This window comes from Homo sapiens, chromosome 2 (genome assembly GCF_000001405.40).
Source record: "Homo sapiens chromosome 2, GRCh38.p14 Primary Assembly".
Classification (NCBI taxonomy): Eukaryota; Metazoa; Chordata; class Mammalia; order Primates; family Hominidae; genus Homo; species Homo sapiens.
In genome coordinates this window covers 151,668,882-151,686,841 of record NC_000002.12, presented here as the reverse complement: position 1 = coordinate 151,686,841, position 17,960 = coordinate 151,668,882, and the positions used below count along the sequence as shown (strand labels likewise).

At 37.9% G+C, this 17,960-nt stretch overlaps 1 protein-coding gene across 47 annotated transcripts in view; it reads left to right on the top strand.

Annotated features, from left to right (window-relative positions):
• NEB (nebulin) overlaps positions 1-17,960 on the top strand; it is a 249,138-nt gene that overhangs the window by 47,635 nt on the left and 183,543 nt on the right. For all 47 annotated transcript variants that reach the window (XM_011511227.3, XM_011511226.3, XM_005246613.3 and 44 more), the window contains exons 28-39: positions 1,867-2,064; positions 4,073-4,180; positions 6,014-6,112; positions 6,820-6,924; positions 7,014-7,121; positions 8,655-8,966; positions 9,071-9,277; positions 11,451-11,555; positions 12,258-12,365; positions 14,162-14,473; positions 15,613-15,819; positions 17,711-17,815. In XM_011511227.3, coding sequence (XP_011509529.1) covers positions 1,867-2,064; positions 4,073-4,180; positions 6,014-6,112; positions 6,820-6,924; positions 7,014-7,121; positions 8,655-8,966; positions 9,071-9,277; positions 11,451-11,555; positions 12,258-12,365; positions 14,162-14,473; positions 15,613-15,819; positions 17,711-17,815 — 1,974 coding nt within the window. The remainder of the gene's footprint in view (positions 1-1,866; positions 2,065-4,072; positions 4,181-6,013; positions 6,113-6,819; positions 6,925-7,013; positions 7,122-8,654; positions 8,967-9,070; positions 9,278-11,450; positions 11,556-12,257; positions 12,366-14,161; positions 14,474-15,612; positions 15,820-17,710; positions 17,816-17,960) is intronic.

Below are 17,960 nucleotides of genomic sequence, written 5' to 3'. Positions count from 1 at the left end.
TGGGCCATGTAACATTTTGCAGTTAAAATTCTTACTACAGAGAGACAAACATCTACTACTGCAAATTATAGTATATATTGTGTATAAAATGTTTAGAGAATCCCTTAAGAGTACTGAGAATGTTCAGTGTAGCTTGCAGATACTAGTTTTTTTAATGATGAAAGAGAAGGGTATTTGTATCATTTAGATTTAACCATGCTTTTATATAATGATCTATACATACCTCTTTAATTCATTTTGCATCTATTCTGTCATTACATAGCACTTTAAAACTTCTAATTCTGTAATTTTCTCTAGTAACTTCACAGTGAATTATGTCAGTATATAGTGCTCACTTATATTACTATCTTGTTCACTAGTTGAGTCTTTTCAACTCAAGAAGGATATAACTCCCCATTGATAGCATGTGTATTTTTATCTTTTGTTTTTATTCCTATCACAGAACCCAGCAGTAGGCACATAATAAATGCCTAATAAATATTTGTTAATTGATTGATGTAGATGACCAAAACACATAGCAAATGAGTCATTCTCACATAATATCCAGGCAAAATGCTAAGCTGCAGACACAGAATATGAATGGCTTTTTAAAAAGAATCTTTTAAAGCCATTTGGATCTTTGACAACATTTTATATGTACTGGTATGTGTCAGCTGGTGTGAACATGAACAAAACAGTAACAACAATTTCTTCAAAAATACTTCCACACACCTATTGCTGTTGCAATATTGCTTTATCAGTTTATTTCTAACGAAGACAAACTGTTGTTTTCAATGTTGTTGCAAACTATCACAAAGTTTGCATACTTTATTTTTATAAACCAGGGTCTCAATTTTATAGTTAAATAATAAATGTATTCAGTGAAAATGATCACCCACAAAATATGAGAAGGAAGATCAAGTTCCCTTAGAAAGCCAAAAGATCAGATCATTTGCAAAAGGAATTGTTACAGAAGATTTGTAGTGCACATCTGTACTTGCCAGCTTGGGTCACCGTCTCTAACACATATGTGACCATGGGAAACTAGGATGAGTTTAGAGTTTTCTGAAAGGCAGTGGGTCAACATTTTTCTGTCAAAGTAATTGGTGAGTGGATACAATGAAGCTGGGAATTTGACCCAACTAGCACCTTGTCTAACCATTCCAGAAAACCAGACAATGAAGGGAGTCCTTGAGGCCCAGCCAGGACATTTGGTTTATAATGCTGTACGGAAGGGCCAACGTTATTTTAATGGCTCAGTTTCTCAAACTTTTCTCCTGTGAAGTCTTTTAACTGCTGCAATCTGAAGCTTCTTTTAAATTGTTGCCCCAATTGAACTTGATATGAAAACAACCTTTGAGATTCTCAGTGGGGTTATCTCCTGTCAATAACAGGTTAAAAAACCAGTTGACTATCCATTCAAAAATGACTCTATACAGCCAATAAACTAAGTCTACAGCCCTGTGTATGAAGTAGTCATTTTATTAAAATCCAATTGTCATATGGTTTTCATTACAATTAAAAAATGCTTCTTTACTGAAAACTCTTCATAGGTTAAATTACATGAATAATAGTAACACTTGTTAGTGGTCCTTGAGAAACCCTGGTTTAGAATAAAATCATTCCTGTTCCTGACTGAAGCAGAAGCTGTGGCCCGCTGTCTGCTGTGACCCAGACAGTTTCTCATTGATTTGAGAAGGTCTGCCCATGCGTGCTTTTTGGGGGAATTTCAATGGTATGTAACATATGAACACATTTTTGGGCAAAATAACTACTCAGATGTTTGACTCTTTCTCTAACTTGTATTTATTGTTTATGAAAGATCTCTGTCTTTTCTGGAAATCCATCGAGGATTTGTGATAATAAATGATAATTTCCTATTCACAGCGCGAATATCGAAAAGATTATGAAAAGTCAAAAACTATCTACACGGCACCTCTTGATATGCTCCAAGTCACTCAAGCTAAGAAATCTCAGGCAATTGCCAGCGACGTTGATTATAAGCACATCTTACACAGTTACAGCTACCCCCCTGATAGCATCAATGTGGACCTTGCCAAGAAGGCATATGCGCTGCAGAGCGATGTGAGTAACCAGGGTTTCTGTAGCCCCTCTTTTAAAAAGATGGAAACTGAAATGGACTTTGAAGTTGAGTGAGGTTTTTGCACTTCTTAGAGGTATCTGCATTGTCCTATGTATGTAAGCAAACGACCCTTGTGGTTCTATAAGAGCATGCCCTTCAAGGTTAGGAAGAACTGATCTGGCTTGCACCCTATCACTGTTTCCCTCTGGGAAATATGTCAACCTTGCTAAGTTTAGAGTCCTCCTCTGTAAAATGGAAATAAATCAAAAACATTGTTTGGAGGATGTAAATGCATGCAAAATACTTAGCATGGTGCCAGGCCCTGGTGAGTTCTCAATAAACATTCAGTATTTATCATCGCTATTATCATAATCATCACATTCATCATTATCAATGATTTTTACATAGATTACTATCTGAAAAGAAAATATATGATTTAACATAAATATTTATAACGGTTTTTTCTGCAGATCAGAACTTCTTTAAGCAAATTCATTTGTCCAAACCACACAACTGAATACTTCATCCTAACAATTCTATTTTTTAAAATGTGACAAAATACATATAACATAAATTTACCACCTTTGCAATTTTCAAGTGTACAGTTCAGTGGTGTTAAGTATATTAACATTGTTGTACAACCAATCTGCAGAGCCTTTTCATCTTCCCAGACTGAAATTCTGTATTCATTAAACAGCAACTCCCATTTTCCTTCTTCCCCTAGCTTGTGGCAACCACCAATCTACGCTTTGTTTCTAAGTTTGACTAACCCTAGATACCTCATATATGTAAAGTCATACAGTATTTGTCTCTTTGTGATTGGCTTATTTCACTTAGCAAAATGTCCTCAAGGTCCACCCATGTTGTAGCATGTATCAGAATTTCCTTCATTTTTAAGGGTGAATAATATTCTATTGTATCGATATGCCATATTTTATTCACCCATTCATCTGTTGGTAGACATTTGGGTTGCTTCCACCTTTAAGCTATTTTGAATAATGCTGCTATGAATATGGGCATGTGAATATCTCTTTGAGATCCTGCTTTCGATTCTTTTGGGTATAAACCCGAAGTTGAATAGTTGGATCACATGGTAGCTCTATTTTTTATTTGTAGAGGAACCACCATACTGTTTTCTGCAGCAGCTGCAAAATTTTACATTCCTACCACTAACAATTCTATATTATACATTGTTATTCTACTTGTTATTAGTTTGATTTTGTTATGTTTTTTCATCTCAAATAGATCATAAGCCTCTGACAGGCAGGAACTAAATGCTTTCTTGATTTTCCATTCTACTTAAAATGCCCAGAGTAAAAAACAACAGTTTGAATTTTGTATCTAAAACGTAAATTTTTGGTACCACCTATGGTCAGACAACAAGAGTAGCATTTTAATAGCGTCAAGTAACTGTGCCTCAACTAGGACCAATTCCAAATAATAACCGCCCTCTTATGCAAATTAACGAGTGCAACTGTTTTAAAGTGTTTTGTTAGCCAATGTAGAAACACTCCAAAGTTGACCAGTACACATGAAGGGCCATGTGTGCAAATACTTAGTACGAATAGTTCTATTAAGTCTTATACAATTAGGAAATTAGAAAATGAGCAAATAACCCACCTTCAATGTGGCCTTCTATTTTAATTTGATAGAAACATAATACTTAAAGTTCCAGGGAACAAACGTCTCACATTTGGTTAACTGACAATTTCACTTACTCTTTGAAGTGCAGCTTTGACTCGAACATTTTCCAGGTTGGAATTAGAGTACCACAGACTTCCATTAAGTTGGAAATAAGGATGAAATGGAACATAACGCCAGTTAGAAGGAAAGCAAAAATCGAAGAGCTGTTACTATATCTCACCAAAGAAATATATAAAATAACCTTAATGTCTGGAGTAAGGAAGCTGGTCAGAAATCTCAAAAACATTGTTTTGGGTAAAACTTTGATGATTTTACATAATGAGGATGACACAGCAAAGAAATGTAACCTTTCTCTTGGTGTTTTAGGTTGAATACAAAGCTGACTACAATAGCTGGATGAAAGGTTGTGGCTGGGTGCCTTTTGGGTCCTTAGAAATGGAAAAGGCAAAGCGAGCTTCAGACATCCTCAATGAGGTAAAGCCACTGGGTGTGTCAGAGGGAGAGTGGTGACTGTGTTGTGTTAAAGCTCTCAAAAGCATGGGCAGTGCTCCTTCATTGCTTCATTCTCAGTCACTGTTGCTGAGGAAAAGAGCTTACCACGTGCACAAATTACCCAGGGAGACCAGCACAAACCTTTATATTACCAAAATCATTTATGTTAACCATTCCTTACAGAAATATTTTTAACAATTTTATTAAGGTATAACTTGTTAACCATTTACGTTAACCATTCATTTATGTTAGCCATTCATTATAGAAATATTTTTAACAATTTTATTAAGGTATAACTTGCATACAATAAAAGTAACTCACATTAAGTGTACACTTTGACAAGTTTTAATAAATTCATATAATTGTGCAGTCATCACTGCAATTGAATTTTAAAATGCTGCAATACCCCAAAAAGTTTCCCCCCAAAATTTCAGCTCTCATCTTCAGCCCCAGGCAACCACTGATTTGCATTCTGTCTCTAAAGTTTTATCTTTTCTAGAAATTTATTTTGTATCTGGCTTCTTTCACTTCATGTAATGTTTCTGCTTGTAATTTGGTTTTTAAAAATTATTAAGTAAATCTTTTGTATGGATTTATTAGGTTGGTACAAAAGTAATTGCAGTTTTGACATTAAAAGTAATGGCAAGAACCACAGTTACTTTTGCCCCAGCATAATACACACCACATTGTTATTATTGCTTCACCGGTTGGGGGATATGTGGATGGTTTCTATTTTTTTGTGATTATGAATAATGCAGTTATTATAGAAATCGTCTTTGAAGAATTATTCCATATGTCATATTCTGGTTGGCTTTGAAGTAATGTATAAATTATAATTCAGTGTAAGAAAAAATAGTGATGATCTTGAGGCTCATAAGGCAGCAAGATTATCTGTCCCTCCCCTGTGACAGTTGAAGAGTCTCACTGCTGTCAGGTGAGTACATCCTCAAGGAGGGCAGACTACACAAAGGACAGAGGTGTGGTATGAGGGTTGTCTTCCACGCTCAAGTTTTACTTCTTGTTCGGTGTTTTGTTTTCGATGAAAACCATTTTGTCTGCTCAAAGATCTTCCAGAAGAAAGTTCTGGGTTAGTGGTTTTTAGAAGTCTGAAGCCGAAAGAGTGATGATGCTAACTGGGATGTACAACATGCACAAAGGAAGAGGACTGGGAAAATAAATAGAGACGCGTACAGGAATAAGGTAGCTAGAAGTTGCCAGCTCCTAGTGGGCACACCTACCCAGGGTCTCCTCTGCAGTGCCCCTTCAGCGTTTTGGTGATAACTTACGTACTAACCACATTAAGACTTGCAGAGCAAAAGTCCTGTCTCTCTTAATAATTCCTAGCTGTTGGCCTAGTTCCTCAATTCCTCCTTCCTCAACCGGACAGCTTCTTGATGCCATTTGCTGATGGAGTAACAGGGAAAAAGAGAACTTGTTTGTGCCATGCAAAGGCACTCCAATCTCCTTGCTTGCTTTTCTGTTAAACCTTTAGAAAACTCTGTGATGTTTCCAGATTCTGCTTAGCTGAGGGTGTCTTGTTTCATGTCATAGGCAAGAAATTAAGAAAGGAGTCTGTCTGGTTCCTGAGAGCAGTATATGTGTCTGTGCTGTCCCAAACTATCCACAATTAAATGGATTTTTAAAGATATTGACTTTTGTATTGCATTCATCAAGCCAATCAAGAATCTAGTGTTTTTGCATTTTAAAATCATGAAAAACTCTTCCTTTTCGCTTCAAAATAAATTTCAAGGATTTTGACGTATTAATCTTCAGTGGAAAACAAGATTGTTTTTCTCTTTTTGATTTGCCAAACAGAAAAAATATCGCCAACATCCAGACACCCTCAAGTTTACCTCGATTGAAGATGCTCCAATTACAGTACAGTCTAAAATTAACCAGGCCCAGAGGAGTGATGTAAGTGTTAATGCTATCTATATGTTAATAGATGTTAACTAATACAAATACATTTGTATTTCAAATGTACTGATCACCTCTAGTTATTATACAATATGAAGAGACCCAATTACACAAGCATCTGTAGAATTCCCCAGCTGTTCATTAATAAAGCATGCCTAATTCATATATTTACAGTAATGTATATTGTGCTGACTGTCCTTTTAGCCATTTGACATTTCTTTCTAAGGAAAAGGTAAGAGGGACTTCTCTTAATGACAACAAAAACTACAAGCCTTTTTCTAGGAAAGACCAGAAAGAATGAGTATATCAAATGGGGAGCAGTTATATTTTAAGTCAGTGCAAAAAAAAAAAAAATCATATATAATCAAAACCATCCCTAAGTCCTTTTAATTGCCCACAAAATATAATATAGGTGGTTGGTGTATTCCACCCTATTACACTTTCCTGAGCTAGGCCCAGAGGTTCCTACTGCAAGTTCCAAGGGATCTTTGCAAAACTGAATAAGCACTGAGACAGTATCCTAAGCAACTGCATGTGTGACCTTGAATGCCTACAGATATTTGCACATGAATATGCAAATGCACAAAGAGTGTCCTTCCTAAAACCACCTCTGTGAAATATGATCCATTAGGAAATTATTTTCTGGTGCCATTAAATTTTCTTTCTACTTTATTTGTTTGTTTATGCATTTTTTTCTCTTTCAGATCGCTTACAAAGCCAAAGGAGAGGAAATTATTCACAAATACAACCTGCCACCAGACCTGCCCCAGTTCATCCAGGCTAAAGTTAATGCCTACAATATCAGTGAGGTGCGTGGGTGGACTCACGGGCTGATGCGTATGTCCAGACTTTACTAACACAGTCTCTAAGTTGTACTTAAATGACATTTTTCTTTCAGAATATGTACAAAGCAGACTTGAAAGACTTGAGCAAGAAGGGATATGACCTGAGAACTGATGCGATTCCCATCAGAGCTGCCAAAGCTGCCAGGCAGGCGGCGAGTGACGTAAGTCCAGCTGTGGTCATACATGGGCAACTAGAAAATGTGGGTGGGTGGGCTTGGGGTCTGACGATGACCCAAAAGTCTCCATGCATGCAGTCCCCAATTGGAAGCAAATCTGATTGAAAACTATTTAGGAAATAAAGTTCCCTAAATAGATTTAAATTTTCTGGAGGGAAAAGATTTGTATAACCTTCTACTGATCAGTTCTAATCAAGCCCCCTCATTTAAAATTCTCATGTATAGTTCTACACTAACTCACATTACTTCTCTTGTGGAGATCCAGAAGTGACTTACCATTTAAGTCATAATAGCCTCCTGATGGTAAAATGTTATCTCAAAACTTTATTAATTTATATGATTTCCTTCTTCCCCTTTCCTCTCCCTTTTTCCTTCGTTACTTCTGTAGACAGGTGAATAGGCCTCAATTTCACCACCTGTAATAGCCAGTCTTTGGGTTCTATTACAGTTAAGAATTTTATTTCTTATCCTATTTATCTTTAACCAAGATGTGAACTGAAGTCATTTTGCTCTTTGAGATTTAAATAAAATTGGCTCAAGCCCCCATCTGTTATTCTATAGGGAGTGGAATCCCCCTCCCCATGATTTCTGTGGAGTCTCCGAGGTTTTTGTTTCTCTGCTTACCTCTGGCTCCTGGCTGGCTTGAGCTCATCTGCGCCCTCCTCCTGCGGGTCTCCTCTTGCTGCTCTGTATGACCCAGAAATGAAACACAGCCCCTTCCTTTTGACTTCCCAGAGTCCCAAACACCACTTTACTGATTGTTTGAAATTAGGTTTACATCGCACCAGTGTAAATATGTGATGATTGAATAACAAATGTCCTCGTTCTGAAATGCCCCTGTCCCACCCGAAGTTCTCACCCACCCCCTTTCTCTGTGGGTACTTTCCTCCAGCTGCCCCTGCCCCAACTTTCCACGAACCTTCCCTCATGTCTCTGCTTCTCAGTGTCCCACAGTGCCCTCCACATATCTCTGAGGAAGCTCAGTCCCCCTCACTTTGTTATCCAGAGCCAGTTAGTGTTTACCCCCTCCTGGCTCTGGGTCTCCCTTTGAATATCCAAGGACTTATTAAATTCTACTATCATTGATATTAACATCCTACCACTACTACTAAAAATTCTAAAACTAATTAAATATCCAGCTACTTGTACTCTAGTAGCACAATGTAATTGGTAGAGATTGTGACATATTTATCTTTTCATTTTTCTCTACCAATGTCTAAATGCAAAGGAAGAATATAAAGATCTGTTTTGTCACTGATACAAATTATGGTAATGCCCCATCTCAACCTCACTTGGATAGGCAGAAACAGCTATAGACAATCAAATGGGTTCCATAATACATAACATTTTTATTTTAAGCAGGCTACATTTCAGAGCATATGCAAGTGAATTGTTAATTGTTTGGTTATTGAAGTACAGTAATTTTTGGGAAGCTCAATTACTTCAAATCATGGCCTCATTGTTTAGTAAAGCCCTCAAAACTACATTTTAAATTATGCCCACCTTTGTTTACAATAGGTTCAGTACAAAAAAGACTATGAAAAGGCTAAAGGGAAAATGGTTGGCTTCCAAAGTCTTCAAGATGACCCTAAACTGGTTCATTATATGAACGTGGCCAAGATACAATCAGATCGGGAGTATAAAAAAGACTATGAGAAGACAAAGTCCAAATACAACACGCCCCATGATATGTTCAATGTCGTGGCGGCTAAGAAAGCCCAGGATGTGGTCAGCAATGTCAACTATAAGCATTCTCTCCATCATTACACCTACTTGCCTGACGCCATGGACCTGGAGCTGTCTAAGAACATGATGCAGATACAGAGTGATGTAAGTGTCATTTACTTCTCAAGAAACCCCCCTATTAAGTTCAGAGCCTGCCATGAAAAGAACCCTGTCCTAGGCCCTCACTCCTCTTTTCTCCATTGCTGTAGAACGTCTACAAGGAAGACTACAACAACTGGATGAAAGGCATTGGCTGGATTCCTATTGGCAGTCTCGACGTCGAAAAAGTTAAAAAGGCCGGTGATGCTCTGAATGAAAAGAAGTACAGGCAACATCCAGACACCCTCAAATTTACCAGCATTGTGGACTCCCCAGTTATGGTCCAGGCAAAACAGAACACGAAGCAAGTCAGTGATGTGAGTACAATAAAATAGAGAGGACAGAGGATATGGAGGAAGCTTTTTAGAAAAGTAAACAGCAGCCCAATATATTTTTTTTCTGGGCCAATATCTTTCCATTTTAAATTATTTTGTTTATTTAATTTTTTAAAAATTACAGTTATGTGTAGTTTGGGCACTAACATTTTCTTCTCTCTTGCTTTTTATCTTCCTTTTTAAAAACTTTTCCTTTTTAACTGTCTTTGAAATATTGTGTTATTGAATAAACTTGACATGGTGAAAAAATTCTATTCTAGGACTACACACATACACATGCAAACACATACATACACAGAATTTAAGCTTAAATCCCAGACACTTTATTGTGGCAGATTTGTTGTATTCAATTCTATGTTAAGTTTCTCATATTTTCTTTTCATATATAAGACATTAATACAGAGAAGTAATACATATGAATATATGTTTTTGCTCCTAAGAATTCAGCATACACAATTATCACAGAGACTTTTTAACTTACATCTGATTGAGGTGTGTATCGTTTGCCTGCCTGTCCATGAGCAGCGTCTATGCTCTGGCTAAAGTCAAAGTTTCTAAAGGAAAGTTTGGTATACAGAAGATCAAAAGCATTCACTCGTTTATTTATTTAATGAATGCTTTTTGAACATTTACCATGTGCCAGGCACTGTATTACCTGCTGATGGCATAAAGATGAAATAGATGAGGATTCATGGGATATAGAAATTCACAAGAATGTAGGGTAAGAGCATAAGACAAAGACATGGCTACAAACAGAGCATTGTCATCCAGAGAGACAAATGCCGCAGGAGAGGAAAATGTTAAATACAAGGGAGGTGCCTTGTACACAGGTAACTGCCTACCAGAGTTTCCCAGGCAAGTGAGAGAAGTGAGCATTCCTGGCAAAAGGAACAATATAACAGCAGTAGAAAAGGAATGAACAATATAACAGCAGTAGGAAAGGAATGAAAAAGTGTAAAAGCAAAAGGTTCAGGATTGTAACCTGATTAGTAAGGGACTCGTATGCTAATTTTTAGAGTCTGGATATTAGGGGGTAGGTAAGAAGAGATGTTGAATATGTTTAATCGATGGAGCCGCATTATCAGGCTTGTGTTTTAAAAGACAATGCTGGCCCCAAGTGTGGAGACTTTGGAAAGAGGAGAGACTGGAGGTGAGAAGATGAATTAGAAGGCTGTCACCGAAATCCAAGGAAGGCTTAATTGGACTGAAGCTAAGGCAGTAGCAATGGCAGAGAAGGAGCTGTGTAGAAGGTCGAATTCATGAATCTGTCATTGCTTAGATATTGTTCTTAAAGGCAATGAGGACTTAGAGGTAACTCTTTGGGTCCTAGAAGAAATTATTTATTATTTGGGGATTAATTTAGCTATTAGCCATGTCAGATTTTATCTTGGGTACATGCATACCAGTTTACATGTCATATTCCATATAGTCATGCCTTGGAAATAAGGATATATATGAGAAATGAGAATTATGAGATTGAAAATCTACTTGTGATTCTGGCTCTATTTTAGTTTTAGGAACTAAGTAATATATTTCTAATACCAGGAGGAGGATGCAGTAAGATTTCTGCATCACATACTTTGACATCTTTCAGTCAAAAGTGTATATAATTCTTTAAAGTAACAACATAGGGCAAATATGAAATAGTGAGCCTTTTGAGTATGCTAGATTCATGTATAAGCACCTCTACATTATGAGGAAATTATTGTATGCTTTCACTGATACAATTATAATTTGGAAAGTTTTTAGCAGAAGTGAAAAACTTATTCTAACTACTACTTTCTCTCTAGGGATAAAAAAATAGAAACTAACAAAAATGGAAGAGCTATTAACTCACAGGCAAATAATAAATTGATTTGGCTTTGGTGAATTCTATTATTCTTGCTAGGGTTTCATGGTTGAATTTACCTTCCATTCATCTTGGGCAGTGAACAATTTCTATTTTCTTAAGGATTTTTTCTCCTTCTATTTTAACACACAAGACTTGTTGGTATTAAAGATAATAAGATGCTTGTTTTATTTAAAAAAATAGGAAAATGCCTTTGATGATTTTTAACACTAGAAAATCATGGGTGATTGTGCTAAAAATAACTCTTTAAAGCAAACAATTAATAGATTTTCCTTTTTGCACTATGTGAAATGCATTTTATTGCAGATCTTATACAAGGCTAAAGGAGAAGATGTGAAACATAAATACACCATGAGTCCTGATCTTCCTCAGTTTCTCCAGGCCAAGTGCAATGCTTACAATATAAGTGACGTAAGTAGGGTCTTTGCTGGGATGTGAAATTCGGACCTGACAATAAAATTATAGACTTTAAGAGTAGGATGGTGCCTTGACAATTTATTTAGGCCCATTTCTCACAAATCCCCTACTGGAACATATCCCATAAGGATGGTTCTTTACCTCTTCAGTTGGCCTTTTCAAATGTAGGACAATTTTAAAGGACATAACATTCTTCTCTATTTAGGGGATGGTAGAGCTCACCATCTATTCCCCTAAAACTTCTACTTGGTTTTCCTAGTTTTGCATGTGGGGGAGGTTATTATCCTCCAGAAACATAAGAATAAATGAGCTCCCTTTTAAAATAACAACCCTAAAATTTCTAAAGCTGACCACCAGGTCTTCTCTTGACATTCCTTTCATGAGAATGAACAACTTCATTGTCTCTAGTTGGTCCTCACATACCATGGTTTCCAGAACCTTTATTTGTTTTTCTCTGGATCCAGTCTTTCAATATTCCTCTCTTCAATATGTGTCAAAACCAGATGTAGGTGAATAATTAGTGCAGAGTCCAATGATCTCATGCTACACACAGTGTGACACTTTGCCAATGTGATTTCCTAAAGCAGTATGTGCTATGAGGGATTCCTTCAACTTCTGTCTGGAAAAGAACAAAACAATCCCAGCAGTTGAGGAATCACTTACAGATGCTGACATTCTGTTTGCTTTTCTGTCCAGGTCTGTTATAAACGGGATTGGTATGACTTAATAGCCAAGGGCAACAATGTGCTGGGCGATGCTATTCCCATCACTGCAGCCAAGGCATCGAGAAACATTGCCAGTGATGTGAGTACAAATTTTAGGTGAAGTTTAGGTGTTTGCCTTTTTGAAAAGTAATCAAATGCTTGTTTAAATTGATACCTTATTGAAAGAAATATGTTAAATTAATGGCATTTAAATTCTCAAAATATTGTTTGGAAAAACCTGTCACTTTTAGAAACATTTTTGTGGTTCTTTTCAGTTGACCCCACTTGGTAGAGCTGTCATAAATCTGACAGTGGCTTTCTCCTTTGATTCATAGCCCAAATTACCTTCACTGACACATTTCCCTGACAGCCCACATTTATTTTCAGTGGGAACACCCTGACTGACATTACCACATTAAATTCAAATGACTGCCTGCATTATAATTGTATTAAAAAGATTGAAAAGATGTTATATAAAATGTACAGATTTTTATAAACCAAAGAGGGAAAAGTCCACTTTTTTAGGATATAATTTTGATTCATGTAAATTGATGTCCATTTCCTGTAACAGAAAAAGTATACACTTCTACTCCTTTCCATCTTTGAAAAACAAAATTTTGGCCGGGCATGGTGGCTCACGCCTGGCCAAAATTTCAGAAGAGCGGATCACGAGGTCAGGAGATCGAATGGTGGCGGGCACCTGTAGTCCCAGCTGCTAGGGAGGCTGAGGCCCGAGAATGGCGTGAACCCGGGAGGCGGAGCTTGCAGTGAGCCGAGATTGCGCCACTGCACTCCAGCCTGGGCGACAGAGGGAGACTCCATCTCAAAAAAAAAAAAAAAAAAAGAAAAAGAAAAATTTTTAGAAAGCATGCATGCCCTGCAGAGTTCACTGTTACATGCTATCCCAGGGAATAAAATCTTGGTTTGAGAAAAGAGAAGAAAGAAACCAACCAGGTATACAGACCACATAGGAAATAGAGGTGTAAAAACTCTGCTACTTTCCTTGTAGGAATGATACTGAAAACATCTTCCTCGGAGGTCTGCACACAATGCACATCACTATGAAATACATTTCTAGTCTAAGTAGAAAGTGAAAGTCTACAGTATAACTTTATTCTTTTTTTTTCTTTTTTTTTTTTTAGCACTTACACAGTGATTTTTCACATGTTAGAAATTACTTGACGATCCTTTTGCCTGCTAAACTCTTATTTATGAATTAAGGCTTAAATAGCAGGAGCTGAAAGTCTGCAGGGTTTAAGTGGATTTGAATTCTCTTGCATAACAGTTGAGGTTCTGACCTGTTACAAGATTGCTCCAATTTATATCACATTGCTGATTCCAGCAGTGAGAGACTTTGGACAGCAGAACTTTTTCCATTAGGTTTTTATTGATGGGAAAACCCCACAGCAGGTCCTTACTGTGGCTCCTTAATTTATTTGCAGCTGTTTCAGCAGTGAGCTTGGAAAGCAGCTGCTGATAAAAGGAGTCAGTGAAGGCCCAGCTATCCTATAGCTGGTACTCATATTTGTGATGTAAATAACATATTAAATCGAAACCTATGAAACCCTATGAAACCAAGAGATATTGGCCTTATATTTAGAATGTGTCATGTTCATATTAAGTGTGAAAATTCAGTTTGTTTAAAATAAAGTTCCACATGCAAATTATCTGTAGGAGTCATAGCAAAGAAAATAAACTGATCTTGAATTTATCGTGACACTCACTTGTAACTCCAATATATGTTTTCACTGAACTTTTTGGAGGGGGTTGTGGTTTGCATTTTTTGTACACTCTTGAGAAAGTCACAAAGCTCTGAGTGTCTTTATATGTGAATGTAATTGCAGCGCTAATGCTATCAATGCCTAGGACTTTGCTAACCCAATTCTGCCTCCACAGTATAAATACAAGGAAGCTTATGAGAAGTCAAAGGGAAAGCATGTGGGTTTCAGAAGCCTCCAGGATGATCCCAAGCTGGTCCACTATATGAATGTGGCAAAGCTGCAGTCTGATCGTGAATACAAGAAGAACTATGAGAACACCAAAACCAGCTACCATACCCCTGGGGACATGGTTAGCATCACAGCTGCAAAGATGGCCCAGGATGTCGCTACCAATGTCAACTACAAACAGCCATTGCATCATTACACATACCTACCTGACGCCATGAGTCTTGAGCATACGAGGAATGTCAATCAAATTCAGAGTGATGTAAGTATGTGTAACAACAGACCCAGAGATGTTTGCACTTAAAGGATGATCACTTCTCGCTTTTATTAGACTTCATACTACAGTCAGCTATTTGACAAATGCACTTTAGAATAAACAACCATTACTGAAAGACTACCAAAGGCATGGTAGACAAGCTGTTTTTGCCTGCTTTCTGTGCTTATATCATAATTATTGATGCTGTCTTTATTAACTTATGGATAAAAGATAAAACTATATTCCACTAACTATGAGAGCCACTTTGATTCACAGCAAGAGGAGATGGGTATTCCTGATGGGTTGGCTGCAATGGTGATAGATACAAAATGCAAAAATAGAAGAATTTTCTATCCTTCCTGAATTTGGGAAAGGTGTTTTTTTTTTTCCTTTATTAACTCAAGGTCACAATGTCATCCATGTAAATCTCTGTAATGAGTCATCTAAAATTAACCAGGAAGGTTTTGTGCTTGCAACATGATTCATGGAGAGTTGCATGGAAAGGTGTTTAACATTCAGAGCCTCTCCTGCTGCAGGAGCCAGATTTCTGTTAGAATTGTCCTCTGTAAAGGAAAGAAGTGTTATACATTTATTGGCACTCGATAAAAATATTGCTCCCCAGATGAGCTCAAGCATAGCCTAGGTGGACAGTATGGATGTAATTTAGTTTTGAAGTCTTCAGTGGAATCAAAAGGAAAGCCCAATTTATTGTCAAAAGTGACAAAATGCTTTTTAGCAGCACCCATAGTGACCTGGATTCCCCTCTGTGTTGCATAATGCAGTCTAAAGCATGATCATTTCTATTTTATTAGGCTTCATAATACAGTAAGTGACTTGAAAAAAAATGCTTTAAGATAAACAACCATTATAGAAAGTACCAATTTATTGTCAAAAGTGACAAAATTTTTTTTAGCAGTACCCATGAAAATATGTGACCTAGATTCCCTTCTGTGTTGTATAATGCACTCTAACAACAGAACAGCTTCTTCTTATTACCACACTCCAGATAAGCTCTGTGACAGACAGTCAGACATGAGCATGCTGAAGAGTTGCTATTCATTTCCCTTGGATAGAATTGCAGATCCCAGAAACATCCCTTGAATATTCTCCAGGGTATCTTCTCATATTAGCTTACCCTTTTACAGAATGTGTATAAAGACGAGTATAACAGCTTCTTGAAGGGCATCGGATGGATCCCTATTGGTTCCCTGGAGGTGGAGAAGGTCAAGAAAGCAGGCGATGCATTAAATGAGAGGAAGTATCGACAGCACCCAGATACCGTCAAGTTCACAAGTGTGCCTGATTCCATGGGCATGGTGTTGGCTCAGCATAACACAAAGCAGCTAAGTGATGTGAGTGCTTTCCTTTCAAAATGATTTGCCCGTAAATAACCACACGTGTCTGAGCCGCTCCTCCGTCCTTCTTAATTCAATGTGTGAGGATGCATCTATGTTAGCAAATAAACTGCTTTCATAGGTATGAGAGAAAGGGCTGCCTTTTGAGGCAACTGGGATCTTGAACATGGGAAAAACAGGGAGATGAAAATGGGGGACTATTCCAAATTTGCTTTGTTTTCCAAATGTAGAGAGCCTGTGCTATTCATAAGCAGATACGCATTATACATATGAAATAACATTATTACTATCATTATCTGTGGCTCTGTATGAATTGCAAAACAAGCTATTTATTGCTCTTGGTTGCAATATTTCTACCTAGCCACATAGGGAAGAGGCATAATGTCCTAATCCCCTCGCATAATAGCTCCATGTTCTGAGAGGCAATCTTAGAATGAGGCCTCTAGGGAGGAGATAAGCAGTTTATTTGCAGTCATCTGGGATCTCATTCTGAGACCACGTCTGTATGGACTCTTACACCGTGGACTCATACCACGTCTGTATGTCTCATTCTGAGACACGTCTGTATGTCTCATTCTGAGACACGTCTGTATGGACTCTTATTCTTTCTGTCAGAAGCGAATTACAATGCTCAGGGCCTCACATGACTTGTTAATTTTAGAGTTCTGTTAAAATGCCTCCACCAGAAAGAGACGGGTAAGTAAAAAGCAAAGAAAGACTTTTTGTATTTTAGCCCCAGATTTTGGAAGGTGGGGAAATGCTTTGCTTGCCTTGGATTTGAAGATCTATGGATTTTAGCTCCTGCCCCCACATTATCACAGATGTCTAAGGGTTAATTCTATCTTAGGAGTAATAACTGGTGTCAATTCTTTTTCTTTTGTACTGAGCGAGATGTCACTTCTCATGGTGTTTTTCCAGTTAGCTAGGCAAACTGTACACTCACTATATAAAGTCTTCCACATCACAATAAATGCCATCAACATCTACCTCGTTACTCAAGCTGGAAACTTGGCAGTCACGGTTAACACCTCCCTGTGTGAACTCCCACATGCAGTACCTCTGCTGAGTCAGCTTCCTAAATATCTCTCAGCCAGTCTGCTCTCAAATGCCACCAACCCTACTTCCAGCTTCTGTATGGCTCGTGTGGACAACTGCAATAACCTGTTATCTGGACTCCCTGCCTGAGGTCTCAAACAATCGCAAGAGCCTGTCTTAAAACACGAATCAAATCATGTCCCTCTTATGTGTAAAACCTCTTAGGAATTTCTTGAATGTGAAGTGAAATCTAAACTCATCAACTTGACAAAAGACCCTCTTCTCTGTGGCCCTTCTGCACCTTCTGTCTAATACTGCTCCACCCCCACGTCTACCCAGGCACATTCCAGCCCTGTGACTTGGACTGCTTTCATTTCCTCAAGGTGGCCAGGCCATTTCCAGCCTCAGGTCCCGAATGCTCTTCCTCTGCCCCTCTCTCCAAGTTTGAGTGTAAATGTTACCTCTGCAGAGTGGCTTTACTGACCATCCTTGTTTCTTTGCTACAATGATTCCATTGACAACACATCACAAATTCTAGTGATAGTTTGTAGTTTACATGTTTTATGTCTGTCCTTTCTATTGGACAGTAAGCTCCAACAGGACAGATATGCCTTCCTCACCTCTTTAAACACAGAACTTACCACCCTGCCTGGCCCACAGTGCTGTCCAATAAATACTGGTAGAATGGGAACATAAATGCATCTACCAGGGCCCCTCCCTTATGACAGAGTAGGTATTTGTCTCGTAAATGGAAAACACAAATGATAGCCTTCCGTTTTAAAGGAGTCTCTGCTTGATGAAATTTATATTATGTCAGCTAATGATATGTGCATGCTGTCTCCTTTGTTTTTAGTTGAACTACAAGGTAGAGGGAGAGAAACTGAAGCACAAGTATACTATTGACCCTGAATTGCCTCAGTTTATTCAAGCCAAAGTCAACGCCCTCAACATGAGTGATGTGAGTATTTGGCCCAGTGCTAATATTGCGTATGCGGGCCTCTCCTTTCTGGTTCTTTGCAACTCTTGCTCTGAGAATTGTAGGGGGCGCAATTCAGTGTGGACCCTGAGCCTCCACATTAAACCCTTAACCATGCAACATGAGC